Raw genomic sequence first — 22,715 nt, forward strand, 5'->3', positions numbered from 1 at the left:
CATTTATCTATTTTTCTATCTTGATGACAAGACTTTGATTATGTTTGATTAGTTTGATTATGGTAACTGTGATAAATCTTGAAATCAGGTAGCATAAGACTTCACGCTTTGTTCTTTGAAAAAGTTATTTTGAATATAGCAGGTACTTAACATTTTCATGTGAATTTTAGAATTAGTATGCCCATTTGATTGTCATTGTATTAAATCTATATAACATTTTGGAGATAATTGACTAATTTTTTTTAAACTTCTGTTTTACATTCAGGGTTACATGTGCAGCTTTGTTATATAGGTAAATTGCGTGTCATGGGAGTTTGCTATACAGGTTATTTCATCACCAAAGTAATAAGCATAGTAGCTGATAGGTAGTTTTTCAATGTTCACACTCCTCCCACCCTCCACCCTCAAGTAGACCTTGTTATCTGTTGTTCTATTCTTTGTATCCATGTATACTTCATGTTTAGCTCCCACTTTATAAGTGAGAACAGGCAGTATTTGGTTTTCTGTTCCTGCATTAGTTTGCTTAGGATGATGACCTCCAGCTTCATTGATGTTGCTGCAAAGGACATGATCTCACTCTTCTTTACGGCTGTGTAGTATTCCATGATGTATATGTACCACATTTTCTTTATCCAGTCTACCATTGGTGGGCATGTAGGTTGATTCTATGTCTTTGTTATTGTGAATAGTGCTGCGATGAACATATGCATACATGTGTCTTTATGACAGAACGATTTATATTCCTTTGGATATATACCCGATAATGGGATTGCTGGATCAAATGATAGTTCTGCTTTAAATTCTTTGAGAAATCACCACACTGCTTTCCACAGTAGCTGAACTAATTTACCTTCCCACCAGATGTGTATAAGCATTCCCTTTTCTCCACAACTTTGCCAGCATCTTTTGTTTTTTAACTTTTAAATAATAACCATTCTGACTGGTGTGAAATAATATCTCATTGTGGTTTTGATTTGTATTTCTCTAAGGATTAGTAATGTTGAGCATTTTTTCATGTGCTTGTTGGCTGTGTGTATGTCTTCTTTTGAAGAGTGTCTGTTCATGTCCTTTGCCCAGTTTTGAATGCTGTTGTTTGTTTTTTGCTTGTTAATTTGTTTAGGTTCTATATAGATTCTGGATATTACACCTTTGTTGGATGCACAGTTTGCAAATACTTTCTCCCATTCTGTGTGTTGTATGTTTACTCTCTTGATAGTTTGGTTTTTGCTTTTTGTTTTTTATTTTTATTTATTTATATATTTTTGCCGTGCAGAAGCTCTTTAGTTTAATTAGGTCCCATTTGTTTACTTTTGCTTTTGTTGCATTTGCTTTTGGTGTCCTTATTATGTAATCTTTGCTAGGGCCTATTTCCAGAATGGAATGTCCTAGATTATCTTCCAGAGTTTTTATACTTTTAGGCGTTACATTTAAGTCTTTAATTCAGCTTGAGTTAATTTTTGTACATGGTGTAAGGAAGGGGTCCGGTTCAATATTCTGCATATTGAAACCAGTTATTTCAGTACCATTTATTGAATAGGGAGTCTTTTCCCCATTGCTTGGTTTTGTCAACTTTCTCAAAGATCGGATGGTTGTAGGTGTGTGGCATTATTTCTAGACTCTATTCTGTTCCATTGGTCTGTGTGTCTGTTTTTGTACCAGTGCCATGCTGTTTTGGTTACTGTAGCCTTGTAGTCAGGCTTTATTACTGGTTCAATTTCAGAACTCACTATGGTTCTGTTCTGTTATTGTTCTGTTCAAAAATATGGTTTCTCCCTGGTTCAATCACTTATAAAGGCTTGGTTTGGCTGGATATGAGATTCTTTGTTAGAATTTTTTTTTTAACAATTCTGAATATAGGCCCCCAATCTCTTCTGGCTTGTAGGGTTTTTGCTGAAAGGTCTACTGTTAGCCTCACGGGGTTCCTTTGTAGGTGACCTGCCCCTTCTCTCTAGCTGCCTTTAACATTCTTTCTTTTATTTCAACCTTGGAGAATCTGATAACTATGTGTTTTGGGGATGGTCGTTTTGTACAGTATTGTTGCAGAGGTTCTCTGCATTTCCTGAGCTTGAATGCTGGCCTATTAGCAAGGTTAGGGAAACTTTCATGGATGATGTCCTCAAATATGATTTTTCTTTCTGTCTTTCGGGGATGCCAGTGAGTCATAGATTTGGTCTCTTTACATAATTCCATATTTCTTGGAGGTTTTGTTCATTCTTCTTTATTCTTTTTTCTTTATTTTTGTCTGATTGACTTAATTCAGATAACCAGTCTTCAAGCTCTTTGCTCAGCTTGGTCTATTCTGCTGTTAATACTTGTGATTGTATTATGAAATTCTTGAAGTGAATTTTTTCAGCTCTATCTGATCAGTTTGGTTCTTTCTTAACATGTCTATTTTGCCTTCCAGCTCCTGTGTCTTTTTATTGTATTCCTTAGATCCCTTGGTTTGGGTTTCAACTTTCTCCTGAATCTCCATAATTTTCATTCCTATTTATATTCTGAATTACATGTCTGTCATTTCAGCCATTTCAGCCTAGTTAAAAACCATTGCTGGGGAACTAGCACAGTTGTTTGGAGGTAAGAAAACAGTCTGGCTCTTTCAGTTGCCAGAGATCTTGCCCTGGTTCTTTCTCATCTGTGTGGGTTGACGTTCCTTCAGTCTTTGAAGTTGCGTCCTTTGAATGGCACTTTTTGCTTTTATCTTCTGTGATGCCAGTGGGGGTTTGTTTGTGGTATAAGGTGGGTTTCAACTGGCCTCTTTTCTGGAAGATTTTAGGGGGCCACGGCTCAACACAGCACTCCTGGACTGTGTGTTCTAACTCTGAGGGACTTTTACCGGGCCCCTGCCTTTGCTCTCGAGCCCCTTGAAGTTAAGATCTTGCTGTACTGGAGGGACCTAAGTGTTCTTGGTCCACTGGCCACAACACGCTGTTGGAGAGTGCCAGCCAAAGCGCTTTGTCCAGTGGTAGCAGTGGGATCTGTGCTCACTCGGGTGTGCCAGCAGCCACAGCATGTGTGGTAGGGTGCACATTTTTCAGCTGAGGAGGGGCACCAGTGGGGGCAGGGTTGCTGTCATCTGTGCTAGCATTTGCACCTGCAGTGGTGGGAGTAGGGCACTTGCAGAGGCAGGGTTTCCTGTGCCCATACACAGATTCACACCGGTGGTGGCAGAAGCAGGGTTGGTAGCATCCATGCGTGTATTCGCACTGGCAGGAGTGGGGGCATGGTGGGGGTGGGGTTGCCAGTGCCCATCAAGGCAATCTTCTATACTTGAATTTGTTAATCATTTCACAATACATATATATGTATCTTAAAACAAAACATCACATTGTATGCCTTAAACATATACAATTTTTATTTGTAAATTATGCCTCAATACAGCTGGAAAAAAAACACATGCAAAGTTACATAAATATCCCCATGATTTTTTCCTCAAGTTATCACCCCTTTTTTCTTACTTGAGTCTGAGAGTGTTTATGAAAATGCTATGAAAATGAAGAAGTACTAAACCGATAACATGGATGGATATTATTATATGTATGACAAAAATGAGAAGGAAAGGTCCTGAAGGAGGTACACAGATACATTTTTGTAATACCCTGAACAAAATGCAGTATGTCAACAGATACCAATCATAATAGATATATGATTACACATATGAATGTAGATTAATGCCCAAAACAGTTGTATGTGAAGCTAATCTGTTTACAATATATTATATATTTCATGAGACTTCTCTGATAAAAATAGACTTGGCATCACTTAAAAAATGGTTCTAACCTTTTTAAAAGTTCTCACTTAGAAATTCACTTGGCGGAGCAGTACACAAGCTGTGTGTGTCTAATTTTCCTCTACAATCTCTGTAAGAAGTTAATCAAATAGGCAATTAATCTGTATGATATTATTCATGTGAAAGCATATGCATATTAAAATACACAACAGACTTCATTCTTATTTTCCTTAAATTTTTCTCTAATGCCAGGGGCTTGAATGTCCAGCAGAGCTCACAATATGAAAAGGATACATGGCAGTGCTTTTGTTGCACATACCAGAAAGTACAAGCAATAACGTTCTGCTGTATAAACACCTGTAATGAAGGCAGAAAATGTGTAGTAAGCTAACAAACAAGACTTTGACCCCAACAACACTTATCTCTCGCCTTGAATCTGCTTTTGCTCCTCATTTCCATTAATAGTGCCACAATCTTCTCTGGAATCCTGATTTGAAATCTCAGAGTCATCCTAGACTCCTTCTCCTCCTTCATCTCGCCCTTCTGATCAATTTCAGCATCCTGTTGATTCTGACTACAATTCTTCCCACATTTCCTTGTCATATCCTTTGCTACTTCTTTTTTTTTTTTGTAACCTCTATTTTAAGAACTTTCTGAGTTGTCTCCTTACTCCTAGCTATCCCCTTCCAATCCATCCTTGATATTGTCCTGAAAGTGATATTTCTAAAATGTGAATCAGATAATAACACTTCGTTTGCAGACATTTACCACTGTCAACATTGGTTTTAGCAGTGGGTTTCAAAGTGTCATCCCTGGACCAGCAGCATCACCTGCTTTGTAGTAACTACTTTGTAGTAACGCAGATCCTTAGGTCCCAATCCAGACCTTCTGAATCTGAAACTCTGAGAGGGGAGCACAAAACTCTGTGTTTTAAAAAGTCCTCCAGGTGATTCTGATGCACACGAAAACTTGAAAACTACGGGGCTACAGAATTAAGTTCAAGTTTTTTGGCATGGTGTCTTGCCAAACCTGTCTTTTCTGCACTTATTTTCACCTCCTTACACTCTTCTGTACTCCTCACCACTCCACTATTTCAGAACCTTACCATATACTGTCCTATTAACTGGGATAAACCATTGGCTTGCAATTTTCTCTTCCAAATTATCAGGTTTTGAACGAAGCACATTTTTAATTTCATCTCTTTCTTAAATCCTTTTTGATCTTCCTAGACATATTTCCTGCTCCATTATTTCATCTGTGAAATGGAAAACAGTTCTGGGTTGAGAGGTAAAACAAACTTCTTGCTTTGTGTTTCCTCAGTAATGTTATCTTTGCTCTCAGAATTTATTCGTTTTTCTTGTGCTATACATGGTTTTTGACAAGTCTGTTCCCACTTATAGATGATATCTTCAAGGGTGATGCAAGTCTCAGTAATCTTTGTCATAGAAGAGTGAGTTGCACATCATATGCGGTCTATAACATGTTGTCTCACACCAATATATGACTTGAACTTTAATGCATGATTATTTTATATGTTCATTGCTGAAAACAATCCATTAGTCCATTTGGGATTGTTATAAAATTTAAAGACCTTTTGTAACTTACTATCTTGAAAAGTGTAATTCTGTTCTTTTGTCTGCTCTAAAACAAAAACAAAATAAAAGTAAATCTGTGCCTTGAACCCTGTTACTTTCTCTTTAAAGGATCAATTTGCTGGCTGGGTGTCCTGCCATCTAACAGGCCTTCCCTGTGAGGCTCCTCTAAATTGGGAAAAGGATTAAATTTTATCAGTGTTTGTTTGGTCTGTTGCTCATCATGTTGATATTTAATCCAGTGTCCAACAAGTGTCCCAAAGGAATAAAATGCCTGAAGCTGGCAATACTTTTTGACCTATCTGTCTGAACATATTCCTATCAGTTTTTACCCAAATAGAGGGTTTTCCAGGAGACATACATGAGCTAAATAAACAATATAATAGTAAGCTTAATTCAGTAAACTATGTTTAATATATCAACAAGGATTTATTGAGTTCTGAAGTACACTCAATTTTGTGAAATCAAATTATTCTGAGTTAGAAAATTGTATCACTTTGCAATATTATAAAGGAAAAATGCATACTGCTATTTTTTAATTATCAGGGTTAAAAATATCTACAAACAATAGTTATAAGCGATTGTGTTAACACCAAAGATATACATTTTCAATACTCATTTAAGTGAACAGTTATTTAGTTAATCACTAATTTATTCAACACACATTTATTGATTGCCTATTGTGCCCCAAATATATATAGATATGGAAATAGCTCTAAATTTATAATTAGAGCTAAATGAGGTTTTTTTTTCTTTTTTAAAGATAGGGTCTTGCTATGTTGCCCAGACGAGACTAGAACTCCTGGGCTTAAAGAATCCTCCCACATCAGCCTTTTGAGTAGCTGGGACTACAGGCACATGCTGCTGGGTCCAGTTTGAGATTTAGATATGTAGATGATAGATACATAGATAGATAAACAGATAGCTAGGCAGATATAGAAATAGAGATAAAGATAGAGAAAGATAGAGATAGATATAGAGATGGCGATAGAGATACGGTAAAGTCCCACTTCTCAGAGTACACCACACTTCAGTGATCAATGAAATACATGTAAGCAAATAATGATTTAATATGATACATGCTAATGAAAGTATGTATTAACTAAAGAACATAGGGTAACTAAATAGTCAAAAGAATGAAAAAAGTCTTCAAAGTCAAAGATGGACCATATGTACCAAGATTTTACCTATCTGCATCAGTTTCTTATGCGAAGGCTAATAAAAGAAAATAAGAATCCAGATTTTCTTGTAGGATGACGTGCATCTGTTTGTGTTTGCTGAAATAGCAGGGCTTTTTCTGCTCCTGTTCAGTGTGGGAATGGAAAGCAGAACATCCCCTGTGTTCCATGTACTGTGTTAGGTACTTTCTCATGTCACTTCTAAACACTAAGAGAAGTAAAAAAAGAAGATTCAAAAACAAGTCTTAAGCTGAATTTACTTAATGCAAGGCAGGAATAACATGATCCCACACAGATGCATGGGACCTTCAGATTAACAGTTAAAGAATTGTTCAGAGAAAATTAACCTAAAACATTGAGGATTTGTTCACATATAGACACATACAAGGAAGAGCAACCCTTATGAAGACTTTTTCTCAGGCCGAAGTCAAGTGTAGAGCTTTAAAAAGGCAAACTTAGAAGTTTGGGTTTGTTTGTTTGTTTCTCCAACAACAAGAGTTGCTGCTGCAAAGTGAGAGTCGCTCTCCCTACTTTTTAGTTATTATTCCAAGATATCTATCCAAGTAGACACAGGTTGAGTATCCTTTTTTTCTGAAATGCTTGGGACCAGAAGTGTTTTGGATATCAGATCTTTTTCAAATTTTAGAATACTTGCATATACAGTATATAATGAGATATCTTGGAAATGGGACCCAAGTCTGAACATAAAATTGATTTATGTTTCATATATAGCTTATACACATAGCCTGAAGGTAATTTTATATTTTCCTTGGGGATGCTAAATAAATTGTGTTCTGTGAATCTACATTTTGACTGTAACCCATCACCTGAGGTCAGGTGTAGAATTTTCCATTTGTGGCATCATGTTGGCTGGCACTCAAAAAGTTTTGAATTTTGGAGCATTTTGGGTTTCGGATTTTCTGATTAGGGATGCTCAACTTTACTTTAAAGTAACATAATTTATCCTTCTATAAATATAGTATTTTGTTTTCATATTAGTATGCAACATGTATAAATTATATCATTAGACTTTTTTGAAAGAATTCAAACTTCAAGTTTGTTACCATGAACATATTTTTAGCTTTTACATAGGTAGTAACAGTGACTTAATTAAAAATACTTTTTCTACTCTTATTTGAATATATTGATAATAGCCAATATATGTAGTTTTCTTCATAGTACATCAGTAGTGAAGGAATTACTTCTGAATCTTAATTCCATTACTGTCTTCATATATGCTCCCAGAACTTTATGAGAGGTAACAAAAATGAATGAATATGGTACTTCTTACTCCCACTCCCCAATGTAACTTCATGGCTTCCTTCATAAACTCCCATTGGCTGTGAAAGAACGTGTACTGCAGAGATATGTTGAACTGGAGTATTTCCATAGAATCCTCCCATCAGGGAAGGAGAGTACCAATAGCAAATTTTCTGAGAGAGACTTACAGAAGGGTATTTTATTCCGAAAGGGAGAAAAACAGATTAAGTACTACCAGCATCCACAATTACCTGATGATAATTTTAAAAAACAATAACAATAAAAGTTATATGAATTACATACAATTAATGTGTACTGAAATCAACAGTGTCTAGAAATATGCTTTTGGAATGATTGTTCCCAAGCCAACAAAGCTTGTGTGCTGAAGTAAGAAAAAACTGAATGGATCAACAGCAATTCTGTTCATCAAGAGTTAGATTTTAAGTTATCACATATCCTTTTAAGATTTGAAAAGTCTCACTACACAAGGTTAAAAAATATACTTTGTGGCTATATTTTTAAAGTCTTTATTCACAAGGGGATACATACTGACGTATTTGGGGATGAAATATCATTATGTCTCTAATTTCTTTTCAGCTGGTTTAGAAACAATAATACAATATAGAAGGTGTGAGAGAGAACATGTGTGCAGATGAGGCAAACCGTTAACAAAGGAAAAAAATATATCTCCTTCATCACTTCTTTCATTTAGTAAAATGTTTTATTGTAACTATTGAAGAGAGACATAGGTCCATCATTTGTTTAAATGATTTTATGCAGGCCGGGCTTGGTGGCTCACTCCTGTAATCCCAGCACTTTGGGAGACCAAGGTGGGCAGATCCGAGATCAGGAGTTTGATGCCAGTCTGACCAACATGGTGAAACCACGTCTCTACTAAAAATACAAAAATTAGCTGGGCATGGTGGCGTGCGCCTGTAGTCCCAGCTAGTCAGGAGGCTGAGGCAGGAGAATCGCTTGAACCTGGGAGGCGGAGGTTGCAGTGAGCCAAGATCGTGCCTCTGCACTCCAGCCTGGGCGACAGAGCAAGACTCCATCTCAAAAAAAAAAAAAAGATTTTATTCAAATAATTTGAATATGCCTTGAACTGTTCTTTATAGTGTTTACCATCTTTTCCCAGGAATTATTGAACCATTTTAAGTTTATTTTTTAACAGGATGCATTTAGTTTAATGGTAGTAAAACCTCCTAAGCCATAGATCCTCCCTCTGTTTCCATATTGAAATGAACACCAAGTGTCTCTAATGTCGTCCAAAGTGCCATTTCTTCATTTTGCCTCTAACTTTTCTTTGGCACATGACGTTGAACTGTATGAAACTTTTTTCCTGACTGATATTTAGGTATGGAATAAGAGTAATTTTCAGGAATATTTGTGATTTTCTTCCAACATTTTCTCAGAAAGCATATTCTGAAAGTGTGTAGTAATATCTATATGCATTCCCAACACAACTCTCTCTCTATTCTCTTGATCTAATTTGTTACTAACTTTTTAAAACTTTCTAGACTAAATCTTTTTGCTTACCTTCAAGCATTTTGTTTTATACTACAAATCTTCTGAGACTCGAATAATTTTATCTTACTGTTTATATACTGCTAACTTGAAGGTATTTCAGCCTTTTTCACTAGCAGCGATACCCTCCATGACAGATAGTCAGTTATATTAACTTGATTCTATTGTAATTTACATAGTGGTAAAACAAAATAATTTTACACTTATAATCAAAATTATAACTGTTTAAAAAATTACCACCTAGGATTCATTTTATGTAATGGGAAAATATACAAAACTGTTTTGATAAATATTATATGCAATTATATAACTTGGACATCTCTGTGTAGTTTTTTCCTCCTGTTTAACGTGGTATGCCAGCTCTACAGTAGTCATGACAGGAATTATGACAATGACTCAGACATTGATGGTGCCCACCAAGCTTCCAGCATATTTACTCTAGATAGTACCTCAATACAGCCCTTTTGTAAAAATTTTAAACCCAAATTTGGTAATTGAAATGAACTAAATCAAAGAATGCTGTGAAATTGACACCTTTATTAAAAAACAATATGTGACAGTAGGGAGAATTAATTCTAGGTTCAGATAAAGCTGGGTGAGAACCCCAGCACTCACCCTTATTAGCTGGCATGGAGTTTCTTCAACTGTATAATTTGGTAATTCAGTTGTTTATTTTGCTTATTTATTCATGCATTCATTCATTTATTCATTTAGTAAATGTATGCTGAGCTGGTTAGCAGGCACAATTCTAGGCACTGTGGCTAAAAAGGGAAGTGAGAAGGACAAAGTCCCTGCTCTCAAGGGGTTTACATTCAACCGGGGAGACAGAAAGCAAAGTGGATGCATAATATAACATCAAATAGCAATAGGTCTTGTGAAAAAAATACCAAGGCATACTCTGGATCAAGTGACCAGGATGGGAAGGCAAAAGGCCTCTCTGAGGAGGTGATATTTGGCAAGAAAGAAAGAGAAAGCCATGCAGATGGTTGGCGAAAAATGTTCCAGGCAGAGGGAAGAGCAAGTTCAAATGCCTCAGTTTATATTTCTGTGAATAGTAAATGAAAGTTTATAGACTCCTGGCACATCGTTAAGTGCTTATTAGATGTTAGATATAATTTTAAGATAATAAATGTGGATAATTAATTCCACGTTATTATGTGTCTTCTTTGCTGTAATGTACATCCTCCTTTTCATCTAGACCATTTTTCTTCTCTTGAATATTATATTATTTATCCTGTTCTCAGAGCTGTTAGATTGCCCTCTTATTAATTTGTAGTGACTTTAACCCTGCTTGCAATATTCAAATGTTATTACTGTCAGAGGTCCTGTTTTCTCAGTCTTTGCCCTTTTGCTCAACATTTGTATACTCTGAGTAATGCCAAATTGATTTTCTTGCTAAGTGTTGGGCAACTGCCCTCTCTAAACAGTAAAATTCACAACTTCTCTGTGATGATGATAATGTTGATGTACCTGCCCTATGGGGACCTGTTGTTTTGTATGCATGTGCAGGGAGAGGGGTGATCAAAAAATGGTGTCAAGATGTCATTTGGAAGATGGTACCTGCAGAAAACACAGAAAACCCAATCATACCCCACCCCCATCCTCCGCATTTCCCACCATGGTTTCTTGTTTACACTTCTCCGATTCTCCCAGAAGTCAGAGCAAAGTGACTGTTTACCTCTGTCTCTGGCTGGGAAAAAACCACTCCCAGAGCTCAACTCACTTTTATTGATTTCTATATTGTTTGGCTGTAAAACATTTATTCTCAGTTGTATCAGTTTGGGTCCAGTTAGAGAAAAAAACACAGTCATTTGAACAGTGAAAGTTTTTACAAATAATTATTAAATGTAACAGGGGATTATAGTAATGAAGGGATTGGCTAGCATAAAAGAAAGATGTATTAGTTTGCTCAGGCTGCCGTAACAAAATACTATAGACTGAGTGGCTTAAACAAAAGATATTTCTTTCTCACAGTTCTAGTGACTGGGAAGTCCAAGATCAAGGTACCAGCCAATTTGGTTTCTGGCTTTTGGATGGCTACCTTCTTGCTCTGTGCTCACATGATCTCTTTTTTGTAATCACGATGGAGAGAAAGAGCAAGCTCTCTGGTGTCTCTTCTTATAAGGGCACTAATCCCATCAAGAGCCTCGTTCTCATGACCCTCCTCATCTAACCCTAATTACCTCCCAAAGAAAGGCCTCATCTCCACGTACTGTCATATTGAGGGTTAAGGCGTCAACATATGGATTTTCAGGGGAGGGCACAAACATTCAGTCTATAGCAAAAGAGAACCATAAATAATAGAGGAATGGCTACCATTAGCCCTAGGGCTGAGATAGCACACCTGAGAAAAAGTCCCTATGTTTTCATCCCCAAAGCAGAGATCCGCACTTTATTGGGAAGGTACAACCATAGCTTACCGAATGGCAGAAATCGCTAAGTTGCTATACCAGCAGAACTTGTCAGAAATCTGTCTTCTTCAAGTTAACAGAGACCCTCCCTCTAAGGTACCTGGGAAACATCGCCAAGCTGCTGGTTGCCAAGCACTGTAGGAGCCAGGTGCTGAAGAAGGCTTGCACGCTGTAAGAGCCTGCCAAGTGAGCACATTGAAAATAGGAAGCAAATCCCTTTCTTCCTGAAATGTCTCACCAGTGCCCTCTCCCCACAAAGCTTCAGTGCCAGCTAGTTAAGAAAAACATATCTCAAAGGCCCAGATCTATTTTTACCGAGCAGGCAGAAAGGTACATTTAGAACTAAGAGGCAATAAATCAATAACCAGCACACTGATATAAACAAATAATAAATAACAGCAGAAGCAGACTCAGTGAAGAATATATTGTTTGTTAGCAGAGTCCACTACTTTGCAGGGCCATTCTCAGTTTGATTCATTGCTATGTGCTCTGTGCCTAGAATAAAATCTGACCCAATATGGATGCTCAGTAAATATTTGTTGGATGAATGAATAATCTAATTGCTTATTTTTTTTGCCTCTAATGTTTTTCCTCTCTTTCTCTGTCTCTTTTTTTACGATAGCCGATGGATGCACTGACTGGTCTATCGATATCAAGAAATATCAAGTTTTGGTGGGAGAGCCTGTTCGAATCAAATGTGCACTCTTTTATGGTTATATCAGAACAAATTACTCCCTTGCCCAAAGTGCTGGACTCAGTTTGATGTGGTACAAAAGTTCTGGTCCTGGAGACTTTGAAGAGCCAATAGCCTTTGACGGAAGTAGAATGAGCAAAGAAGAAGACTCCATTTGGTTCCGGCCAACATTGCTACAGGACAGTGGTCTCTACGCCTGTGTCATCAGGTATCCCTTTAATTCTATTACTGCTGAATCAAAGAAAGCACAGGCTGCTTTCTCGTACTTAAATGTTGCTGCTATCTCTTTTGCCTAAAGCCGTTGTCTCAATATTTGCATGTGTTGCTGCTTTCTAAAATTTAGAATCAAAATCATAAAAAGATGGGATTGGAATTTATATTAGACATTATTTCTAGCTTATGGAGAAAAGCGATACCATCTGGGTAGCTACTTATGTTACCAAGAATTACTAAAAACTATGAAATAAAATTTATACAGGAAGTAAAATGGTGCAAATAAAATGTAAGCAAAGACTTGCAGAAAGGATGCATAGTTTCTTGCTAAATGAGTTGTAACATTTTGCTATTGCCCTTCGCAGACAGATAGAGCATGGATACTTCTGGTTCACACACATTTGCAAAGATGATTTAGGTAATGTGTGTATGTGCACAGGGAGAGGAAGAGAGAATTACCATGTTAGAGAATATGAAGGTTGTGTTCCAGATTGCTTTGCTAACCAAAACTTCTGGGTCAATACAAAAATCTTCCCAAGTCTTTCAGGGCCAATACCAAAGTTAATAACAAATTCAGTTCCTGTATCCCCAAGGATACCCACCATACATCTACACATCTTTGTCAGCTTCTGGAAGAGGTATATGCAGTTTGTTTAAAGATAATGCATTGAAGCAATGCCCATGTAACACATTCGCAGTTAAAAACCTCAGTTTAAGCATTTAGCCCCTCATAGATTGTGAATCACATCCTTCATGAATGATCATGTATGTCATTGGACTATTAGAACATTAGCGAAGCTGGGTATAGTCATATAGAGGGTGTGTTTAAATCTATTTATTTGGCTTTCTGTATTTGGGCTTATTCAGAGAAATAAAGAAGAATCTAAAGTAATGGATTCCCATAACTCAGAGAAAGTCTCAGAATCACCTAGTGTCTTTTTCAAATAAAAATTTACCGCTCCTGAAATCCTGATCAGCAGCTAACACTCCTCTGTCATAAATATCATGCCTCCCTCTCACCGTCATCTCTAATAATTACCTGTAAGCTGAGCCATGGCTACGGGTGTGCTAGGACATTGAAATAGGTCAAGTTGCATAAAAGTTAAACAGAAAGGTATCTTTCTAACACTAGCAACATATATTATGTTAGAGTTAATGTTGGAAAATATAAATGAATATAAGTAAAGAGTTGTGCTTGGGAAAAATGCCTAAGGGATTTTCAAAGAACAAATGCATCTGGCCGGGCATGGTGGCTCACGCCTGTAATCCCAGAACTTTGGGAGGCCGAGGCAGGCAGATCACTTTAGGCGAGGAGTTCGAGACCGGCCTGGCCAACATGGCAAAACCCCATCTCTACTAAAAATACAAAAAAATTAGCCGAGGATGGTGGCACGTGCCTGTGATCCCAGCTACTTGGGAGGCTGAGGCAAAAGAATCGCTTGAACCCAGGAGGCGGAGGTTGCAGTGAGCCAAGATCACACCACTGTACTCCAGCCTGGGCAACAGAGCGAGACTCTGTCTCAAAAATAAATAAATAAGCAAACAAATGCATCATTCCTTTGGCAACTCTTCTTCTTTCTCTTAGGGTTTACTAATCCTTTTATGATTAAACATAACTCTTAATAAAAGTAGAGGTTTTGTAGGGGTACAGATCAATAACTGTCACACTAGTACAGTTAAAGAATACTGTTTGGACTAGCTGTTCCCATTTGACCAATAGTAATTAGATTTTAATTTCATATCTGCTGTGTTTCTTTTTAAAAATCATTATTTCTGATTGTTCATGCATGTCGTAAGGTGATTCTTCAAGATAGGCAAATGTGTGTCCTCATTTATCTGACATTAGAATTGAGTTGGATGTCCATAGTATAATACTACATTTCGTCACTTATTATTGATGGAAAAATAATGATGTGTTCACATTAGTAATCTGAATTTTGAAAACACTGAGGTTGCAATTCTCTGATGTATTTAAATATACACTGTGATCCAATACTCTGAGAAACTGCATTAAAATGCCTCTGGAAGGGCTGGGCACCGTGGCTCATGCCTGTAATCCCAGCACTTTGGGAGGCCGAGGTGGGCAGATCACCTGAGGTTGGGAGTTCGAGACCAGCCTGACCAACATGGAGACACCCCATCTCTCCTAAAAATACAAAATTAGCCGGGCATGATGGTGCATGCCTGTAATCCCAGCTACTCGGGAGGCTGAGGCAGGAGAATCACTTGAACCCATGAGGCAGAGGTTGCAGTGAGCCGAGATCGCGCCATTGCACTGGCAACAAGAGCCAAACTCCGTCTCAAAAAAAAAAAAAAAAAAAAAAAAAAAAAAAAGCCTCTGAATTACCAGTTGCAATAATGAATGAAAGATTGAAAAGTTTCCAAAATGATGACACTTGCCATATGTTCATATGTCTACATTTTAATAAAAGGTGAAACTAAAAGACAAATACTTTAAAGTTTATGTGTGTCAAGTGGCAATCTAGAGAAAGGGATAAACTGCAGGAAGAGATACTTTTGTCACTGAAATTCAAATATGCCAATCAATTTGAAGGGAGTGTTGTTACAGCTTTCTTTTCCAATTTGGAAAGGGGTACTCAAAAGTCTTTACAAACAGCATTTGAAATAGCACGGCTTGGTGTTGACGTGAGAGGAGCTCAAGGGCTGTCAGTTGAGTCACTGACATTTTGGCATATTGTTAGCTATCAGGCCACTAAACTGTCACCATTAGTTTTTAAATAATCCACTTGCAAAGAATTTTAGAGGCTTGAAAATGTTAGCATCCATTCTAAGGTTCTAGTCTTTCTGATAAATATTCTGAGTATTAACTTGTCAATGAAATTGTTTATCAAGCTTTTCATATACAACTAATTTCCATTTACACTTAAATATATGCAATTAAATGGCATACATAATGGAAACACCTAAGACTCCTATCATTATAATGAACAAGAACTTTCTTATTTCCTTCTTTAATATCTATTTTGGACAGAATAATACCACACAATTCTTTGCTCCATACTTACTGGCTCTTTACTCAGTTTACTCATTCTTAAATTTATATTTTATTTTTTACATGAAAAAGTGAATGAAGGAAAGCTATGTAACAATTTCTTTTGTCTTATTTTATGGCCATATATAAAAACAAGTTTACTCTTAAAAAAATAAAAATTTGGTGGCCAGGTGTGGTGGCTCACACCTGTAATCCCAGCACTTTGGGAGGCAGAGGCAGGTGGATTGCTTGAGGCCAGGAGTCCAAGACCAGCCTGCGTAACACAGTGAGACCCCGTGTCTACAAAAATGAAACTGTTTAAAAATTAGCCTGGTGTGGTGGTGTGCACCTATAGTCCTAGCTACTCAGGAGGATAAGGTGGGAGGATTTCTTGAGGCCAGGAGTTTGAGGCTGCAGTGAGCTATGATCACACCACTGCACTTCTGCCTGGGCAACAGAGCAAGACCTTGTCTCTTAAAAATGAAATGAAATAAAATAAAATAATAGTTCCGTATTCTTGACCTCCAACTTTTTAATTCCCCTTTTCATAGTTATGCCCTATTAGCAGTTTCATATGCAAAGCTAGCTGGTATATGTGGAAGCATTCCAGTGCCCCCCAAATGGTAGCATGCTAAGTTATTTGGCACCCTATTTTTAATTAAAATTTTATTTTTGAGATAATTGCAGGTTCATATTCAGTTGCAAGACATAACGTAGAGAGATGCCATACCCAGATTTGCTCGGTGGTAGCATTTTGTAAAACTGTGGTACAATATCATAATCGGGATATTGACATTGATACAGTCAAGATACAAAACAATGCCATCACGTCTCAAGGGCCCCTCCTATTGTTCTTTTATAGCTACATCCATCTCTACCCAACCCCAATCCCAAACCCCTGTCAACCACTAATCTATTCTTTATATTTATAGTTTTGTTAATTTATTAATGCAATATTAATGAAATCATACAGTATAGAACCTTATGGAATTGGATTTTTCACTCAGCATAATTCCTTTGAAATCCATCCAAGTTGTTGTACATATCCATAGTTCATTCCTTTTTATTGCTGTGTAGTATTCCATGGTATGGACTACCACCATATTTATTCACTTGTTGAAGGGTGTCTCTATTATTTCCAGTTTGGGGATATTAAAAAGGAAACTTCTATGAACATTCATATTCAATTTTTGGTGAACATAAGTTTATTTTTCTGGAATAAATGCGCAAGAGTGAACATGGATTGAATGGTAGTTGTGTGCTTAGTTTTATGAGAAAGAACCAAACTATTTTTCAAAGTAGCTATAGCATCTGATGTTCCCACCAGCAATGTATGATTTCTCCACATCCTTGCAGCATTTGCGATTGTCACTACTTTTAATTGTAGCCATTCTGGTAGGCATATTGTGATAACTCATTATGATTTTCATTTGCATTTTCCTAATGGCTAATGATTAAAATTTTCATGTGTTGATTTGCCATCTCTCTTCTTGTCAGTAAAATGTCCATATTTTTGTACATTTTATAATTGAATTATTTATGTCCTCCTCATTGAATTTTGAGAATTCTTTGTATGTTCTAAATATTAATTCTTTTTGGAGATGTAGTTTGCCAATATTTTCTGACTGCCTGTAGGTTATCTTTTTGTCCTTCTAACAGGGTCTTTTGCAAAGCAGAAGTTTTTAATTATGATAAGTTTCAATTTGTGAATTTTTCCAGTTATGGACCATGCTTTTGGTGTGAAGTCTAAAAATTCTGCCAAGTGCTAAGTCCTGAAGATTTTTCCTTGTTTTATTTTTTATTTTTAAGATTTAAAAAATTGTTAAAAATTCAGTTGCTTTACATTTTACATTTAAGTCTGTAATTAATTTTGAATTAATCTATTTTTTGAAGAAATGCTTATTTTATTTTTTATTTTTTATTTTTATGTATTTATTTATTTATTTTAAGTCCTGGGGCACATGTGCAGGATGTGCAGATTTGTTACATAGGTAAACGTGTGCCATGGTGGTTTGCTGCACCTATCAACCCATCACCTAGGTATTAAGTCCAGCATGCATCAGCTATTTTTCCTGATGCTCTCCCTCCCCCAGCCCACCTGCCCAGCCCCAGCAGGCCCCAGTGTGTGTTGTTCCCCTCCCTATGTTCATGTGTTCTCATCGTTCAGTTCCTACTTATAAGCGAGAATATGTGGAGTTTGGTTTCCTGTTCCTGCATTAGTTTACTGAGGATACTGGCTTCCAGCTCCATCCATGTCCCTGCAAAGGACCTAAGCTCATTCTTCTTTATGGCAGCATAGTATTCCATGGTGTATATGTACCACATTTTCTTTATCCCGTCTATCATTGATGGGCATTTGGGTTGATTGCATGTTTTTGCTATTGTGAGTAGTGCTGCAATGAACATATTCATGCATTTATCTTTATAATAGAATGATTTATATTCATTTGGGAATATGCCCAGTAATGGGATTGCTGCATCAAATGGTATTTCTGTTTCTATATCTTTGAGGAATCGCCACACTGTCTTCCACAATGGTTGAACTAATTTACGTTCCTACCCACAGTGTAAAAGCATTCCTTTTTTTTCTGTAACCTCGCCAGCATCTGTTGTTTCTTGACTTTTTAATAATCGCCATTCTGACTGGCGTGAGATGGTACCTCATTGTGGTTTTGATTTGCATTTCTCTAATGATAAGTAATGTTGAACGTTTTTTCATATGTTTGTTGGCCGCTTAAATGTCTTCTTTTGAGAAGTATCTGTTCATATCCTTTGCCCACTTTTTAATGGAGTTGTTTGTTTTTTTCTCATAAGTTTTTTTAAGTTCCTTGTAGACTCTGGATATTAGACCTTTGTCAAGTGGACAGATTGCAAAAATTTTCTCCTATTCCTTAGGTTGTCTGTTCACTCTGATGATAGTTTCTTTTGCTGTGCAAAACTCTTTAGTTTAATTAGATCCCATTTGTCAATTTTTGCTTTTGTCGCAATTACTTTTGGCATTTTCATCATGAAATCTTAATTTTGAATTAATATTTATTTCAGGACTGATGTTTGTTTAGGTTAAGTCTTAGTTTTATGGGGTTGGATGTCCAGTTGTCCCAGCACCATTTGTTGAAAAGGCTATGCTTCCTCCATTGAATTGCTTTTGCATCTTTATTCAGAATCCATTGAGCATATTTTTGTAGGTTAATTTCTGTGTTTTTTATTCCATACCTTTGTCTATCCCTCTGCCAATACCAAACTGTATTGATTAGTATAGCTATATGGTGGTGAAAATATCAACTAGAGTGATTCCTCCTACTTTATATGTCTTTTTAAAGATTGTGTTTAGCTATTATAGGGCCTATTATTTTTCATGTAAATTATAGCATAAGTTTGTCTATGTCTACAAAAATCCTTACTAGAATTTTGATAGCAGTTTCATTAAGCCTATGGATCAATTTGAGGAGAATTGATATCTTTACCATATTGAGTCTCACTATCTGTGAGTACAGTATGTGCCTCCACGTATTTAGGACTTCCTTCTTTGGTTTCTTTCATCAGCATACAAATCCTATAAACATTTTGTTAAAATTTTAACTAAGTATTTCATTTTCTTTGGAATGTTTGTAAATGATATCTTCTGTTTAATTTTGGTTTCGACATGTACATTGTTACTATGTGAAAATGTGATTGATTTTTGTGTTAACATTTTAAAAACATATTTTTTTCAAATGACATATCTATAATGTGTTATATCTAGCATGTAGTTCATTTGCTCAAGTCTTGATTTTTCCTTTTGGGACTATGTAACTCTTTTTTCTCATTGAAAGAACACAGTAAGTAAGCATCTATCAAAAAGTACTTAAAGAACATCCATTTATTCACTCATGCTATGCTAATGGTAGGATTTAAAAGATTTAAAGAGAAGCTTTTACTTTCAAGTAGTTTACCTAAGAGAAAATAAGTGTGTAATAAATTGCTGCAGATACTATGAAAATAGTTTAGAATTCAGTGGAATTCTGCCGAGATAGAGTAGCCCCGTTCCTCTTAAGTCTTCCTTCTTACAACTAAAAAGTCTGCATGTAACGGCAAACAAGCATAAGAAGTCTCTGAAAGATGGAAGAAATACCTCTGAGAAAGACCTCAGAACTTGAAGAATGACATGGCAACATGTCATGTTCTCACTATCCTGTCTGCTCCTCACAGATTAAGGCATGAATTCTTATCATTTTTTCACTTTGTTCCTTCATTTGAAATTCAATATTTTCATTGCCTACCTGAACAATACATATTTATTTCTGGATGAAAATCCAGTTTATGTTTACTTTCTTTCTATCTTTCCTATAATTACTTCAAAAACAATTGTTTCTTCTACCTATTCTGGGGAGAAAACACACTAAAACTTAGTGCCTTAAAACAATAACCATTTTATTTGCACGTGACTCTGCAATGTGGGCTGGACTCAGCTAGGTGGTTCTTCCAGTGATCTTGCCTGTGGTCACCTGTGGCTGGAGTCCACTGCAATACAGGGTTGGCTGAGCCTGTTTCTCTATTATTTCTGAGGGCCTCTCCATGTGCTTTTTCCATTTATCTATCAGGTGAGCCAGACTTTTTATGTGGCAACTCAGAAAGTATAACTGCTTATCAAGCATCTCCTTGAGTCATGCTTACTGATGTCTCATGAGCCGAGTTTTGAGATAATAAAGGAGAAGACTTTACAAGGGCTTTGAGGTGTGGTTCATTGGTAGGACCACCAAAGTAACAGTCTAAGAGTCAACCTTTGACCCTTAATACTGTCATTCATGTCCTTATAAATGCAAAGTATAGTGACCCCATTCCTAAAACCTCCAAAGTCTTATCTTTCTGTGGCATCAGGATTAGGTTAGAAGTTGATGATCTTATTATCCAAGTCAGCTCTGAGTGTGAATGAGGTTCTTCCTGCTTAGTTCCCTGAATACAACTGCTCAGGAGTGGCTGCTCTTCATCCAAAACTCTGTGAACTAAAAAGGTATATAATTTGGCCCTCACATAGCCAACATAAATAGTGAGATAGGGATAACATAGCTAAACCAAATATCCCCATTTGAAATGGGGGCTGCGGATAGGAGATACAGAGCAGTCACTGGCCCATGGCAATTCTAAAATTCAGCTGGATACATGGCACCAGTTTATTTTATTCTTTTCCCAAGGAGAGTAAATATACTTTATTTTTTATTTTTTTTATTATACTTTAAGTTCTGGGATACACTTGTAGAACGTGCAGGTTTGTTACATAGGTATACATGTGCCATGGTGGTTTGCTGCACCCACCAACCTGTCATCTACATTAGGTATTTCTCCTAATGCTATCACTCCCCTAGCCCCACACCCCCCGACAGACCCCGGTATGTGATGTTCCCCTCCATGTGTCCAGGTGTTCTTATTGTTCAACTCCCACTTCTTAATTAGGGCTCAGTTCTGGTTACTGGAAGTGGTTCTCTGATATTCTTGGGTCCATGCTCTTCCTTTCTATATAAAATTAATGGCCCAGGCCTCTTTGCAATTTGAACTTTATCCCTTTTGGTATAAGGTAGTATCGTTCCTTAAAATGTTGTGAAGCTTCCATGTATTAAGTTGTAATCCACTTCATGAAGCAGAAGCCACACCCATAAATATCTTCAGGAAAGATGCCCCTCTACTTTGCTGTTCAAGTCAGGATGCTGGAGGACAATGTACCAAAGATTCTTAAATGAGTTTTGCCTAGCTAGTCTTAGGGCATGCCTCATAGACCCTCCTAGCTAAGAATCTTAGAGTCTGCCCCATAGACTTTCTTAGCTACTTTCTCTGGATGATGGAGTATGCATTGTATACCAAACATATTACCACAGACATTTTTCCCCCTCAGAATCAATATGAGGTGTTTGTCAATGAGAAAGCACTCAATACATATTTATTGAACAAAATAATGAGTGATTGAGGTTAGTGTTCCTTAGAATACCTTGTGGAAAACACTGCTATAGACAAAATTAAACAATTTTCTGATTCCTATCATTTTCCATAAGAAAATAAAATAATTCTTTTTCTTATGACATCTCTTGTCTGAAACCAACACAAATTATGAATGGCTTGTCCTAAATCATGATTTTTGGTATTTCAGATGACAATTTTCTGTCTTTTGACAGAATATACCTTTACTGTCACCTGGTGGAAATAAAAACTAATAAAGTGTTAGATCTGATAGACCCAAACAAGTAACTGCTATAACTGTAGTATAAACAATTTAAGTAATTTTTAAAAATCTGTATGATACAGTATACTTTTAATATTTATGAATTTTTATGTAAGTTATTTAAAAAATCAAGTCATTCTTGAATCAAAGGATATATAATGTCAGCATTATTTTAGAAAGCCTTAAACATTTATGCCATAAGGAGTCTTCATAATTTGTTCAGGGCAATCAAAGTCCGTATAAATGTTTTATATCCTACCCAGTAATTTTAATGATTGTGTGCATATGTGTTCCAAGGATCTAGTGTAGTTTCACAATCTTGGTTTCCTAATTTTTAAACTATCTCTCTTAATTGAAACCATAGTATACCCTTGAGAATATCAGCTATAATTTATAGGTTATAAAAATGCAATTAAACCTACATAAGCCAGTCCCTTTAAAAAAAAAAAGTCATATACAAGTGAAAGTCTTTAAAATAAGATTTCAAGTTTGGATGTAGAGTCTCTTATAGATAATATATTTATTTTGTAAAACTGCACATCAGGCACTTTCTGTAGTTTTTTGGTAGAGACATCTTTCTTGCCATAGTAGGTTTCAATGAGATTTTTCAGCTGGATAACTCTGATGATTCTTGGAGATGGTGTTGAAGTTTAAGCCATATTTCCATGTCTGAGACACGAAGACATTTTCTAATGGATCAAACTACTTTTAACAGAGCAATAATTAGCCAAATTGCTATATTTCTGGGTTGTGCTCTTTTCAAAAACAACAAATTCAATTGATGGAAGTAAAAGCCAAGAGCTGTGTGAAATGTCTATTTGATTTACTGATTTTTTTTAACCATCTAGGAAATACATGTCTTCAACAAAACAGCCTATTTTTTTTTTTTTTTTACTAAGAAGATGAAATAAATTCTGCTGGAGTGATCATG

General features: G+C 36.4%; 1 protein-coding gene across 2 annotated transcripts in view; it reads left to right on the plus strand.

Annotated features, from left to right (window-relative positions):
- The window catches only part of IL1RAPL1 (interleukin 1 receptor accessory protein like 1), a 1,369,273-nt gene that overhangs the window by 683,175 nt on the left and 663,383 nt on the right, over window positions 1-22,715 (plus strand). For both annotated transcript variants that reach the window (NM_014271.4, XM_017029240.2), the window contains exon 3: window positions 12,318-12,597. In NM_014271.4, the coding sequence (NP_055086.1) occupies window positions 12,318-12,597 (280 nt within the window). The remainder of the gene's footprint in view (window positions 1-12,317; window positions 12,598-22,715) is intronic.

This window comes from Homo sapiens, chromosome X (genome assembly GCF_000001405.40).
Source record: "Homo sapiens chromosome X, GRCh38.p14 Primary Assembly".
Taxonomy (NCBI): Eukaryota; Metazoa; Chordata; class Mammalia; order Primates; family Hominidae; genus Homo; species Homo sapiens.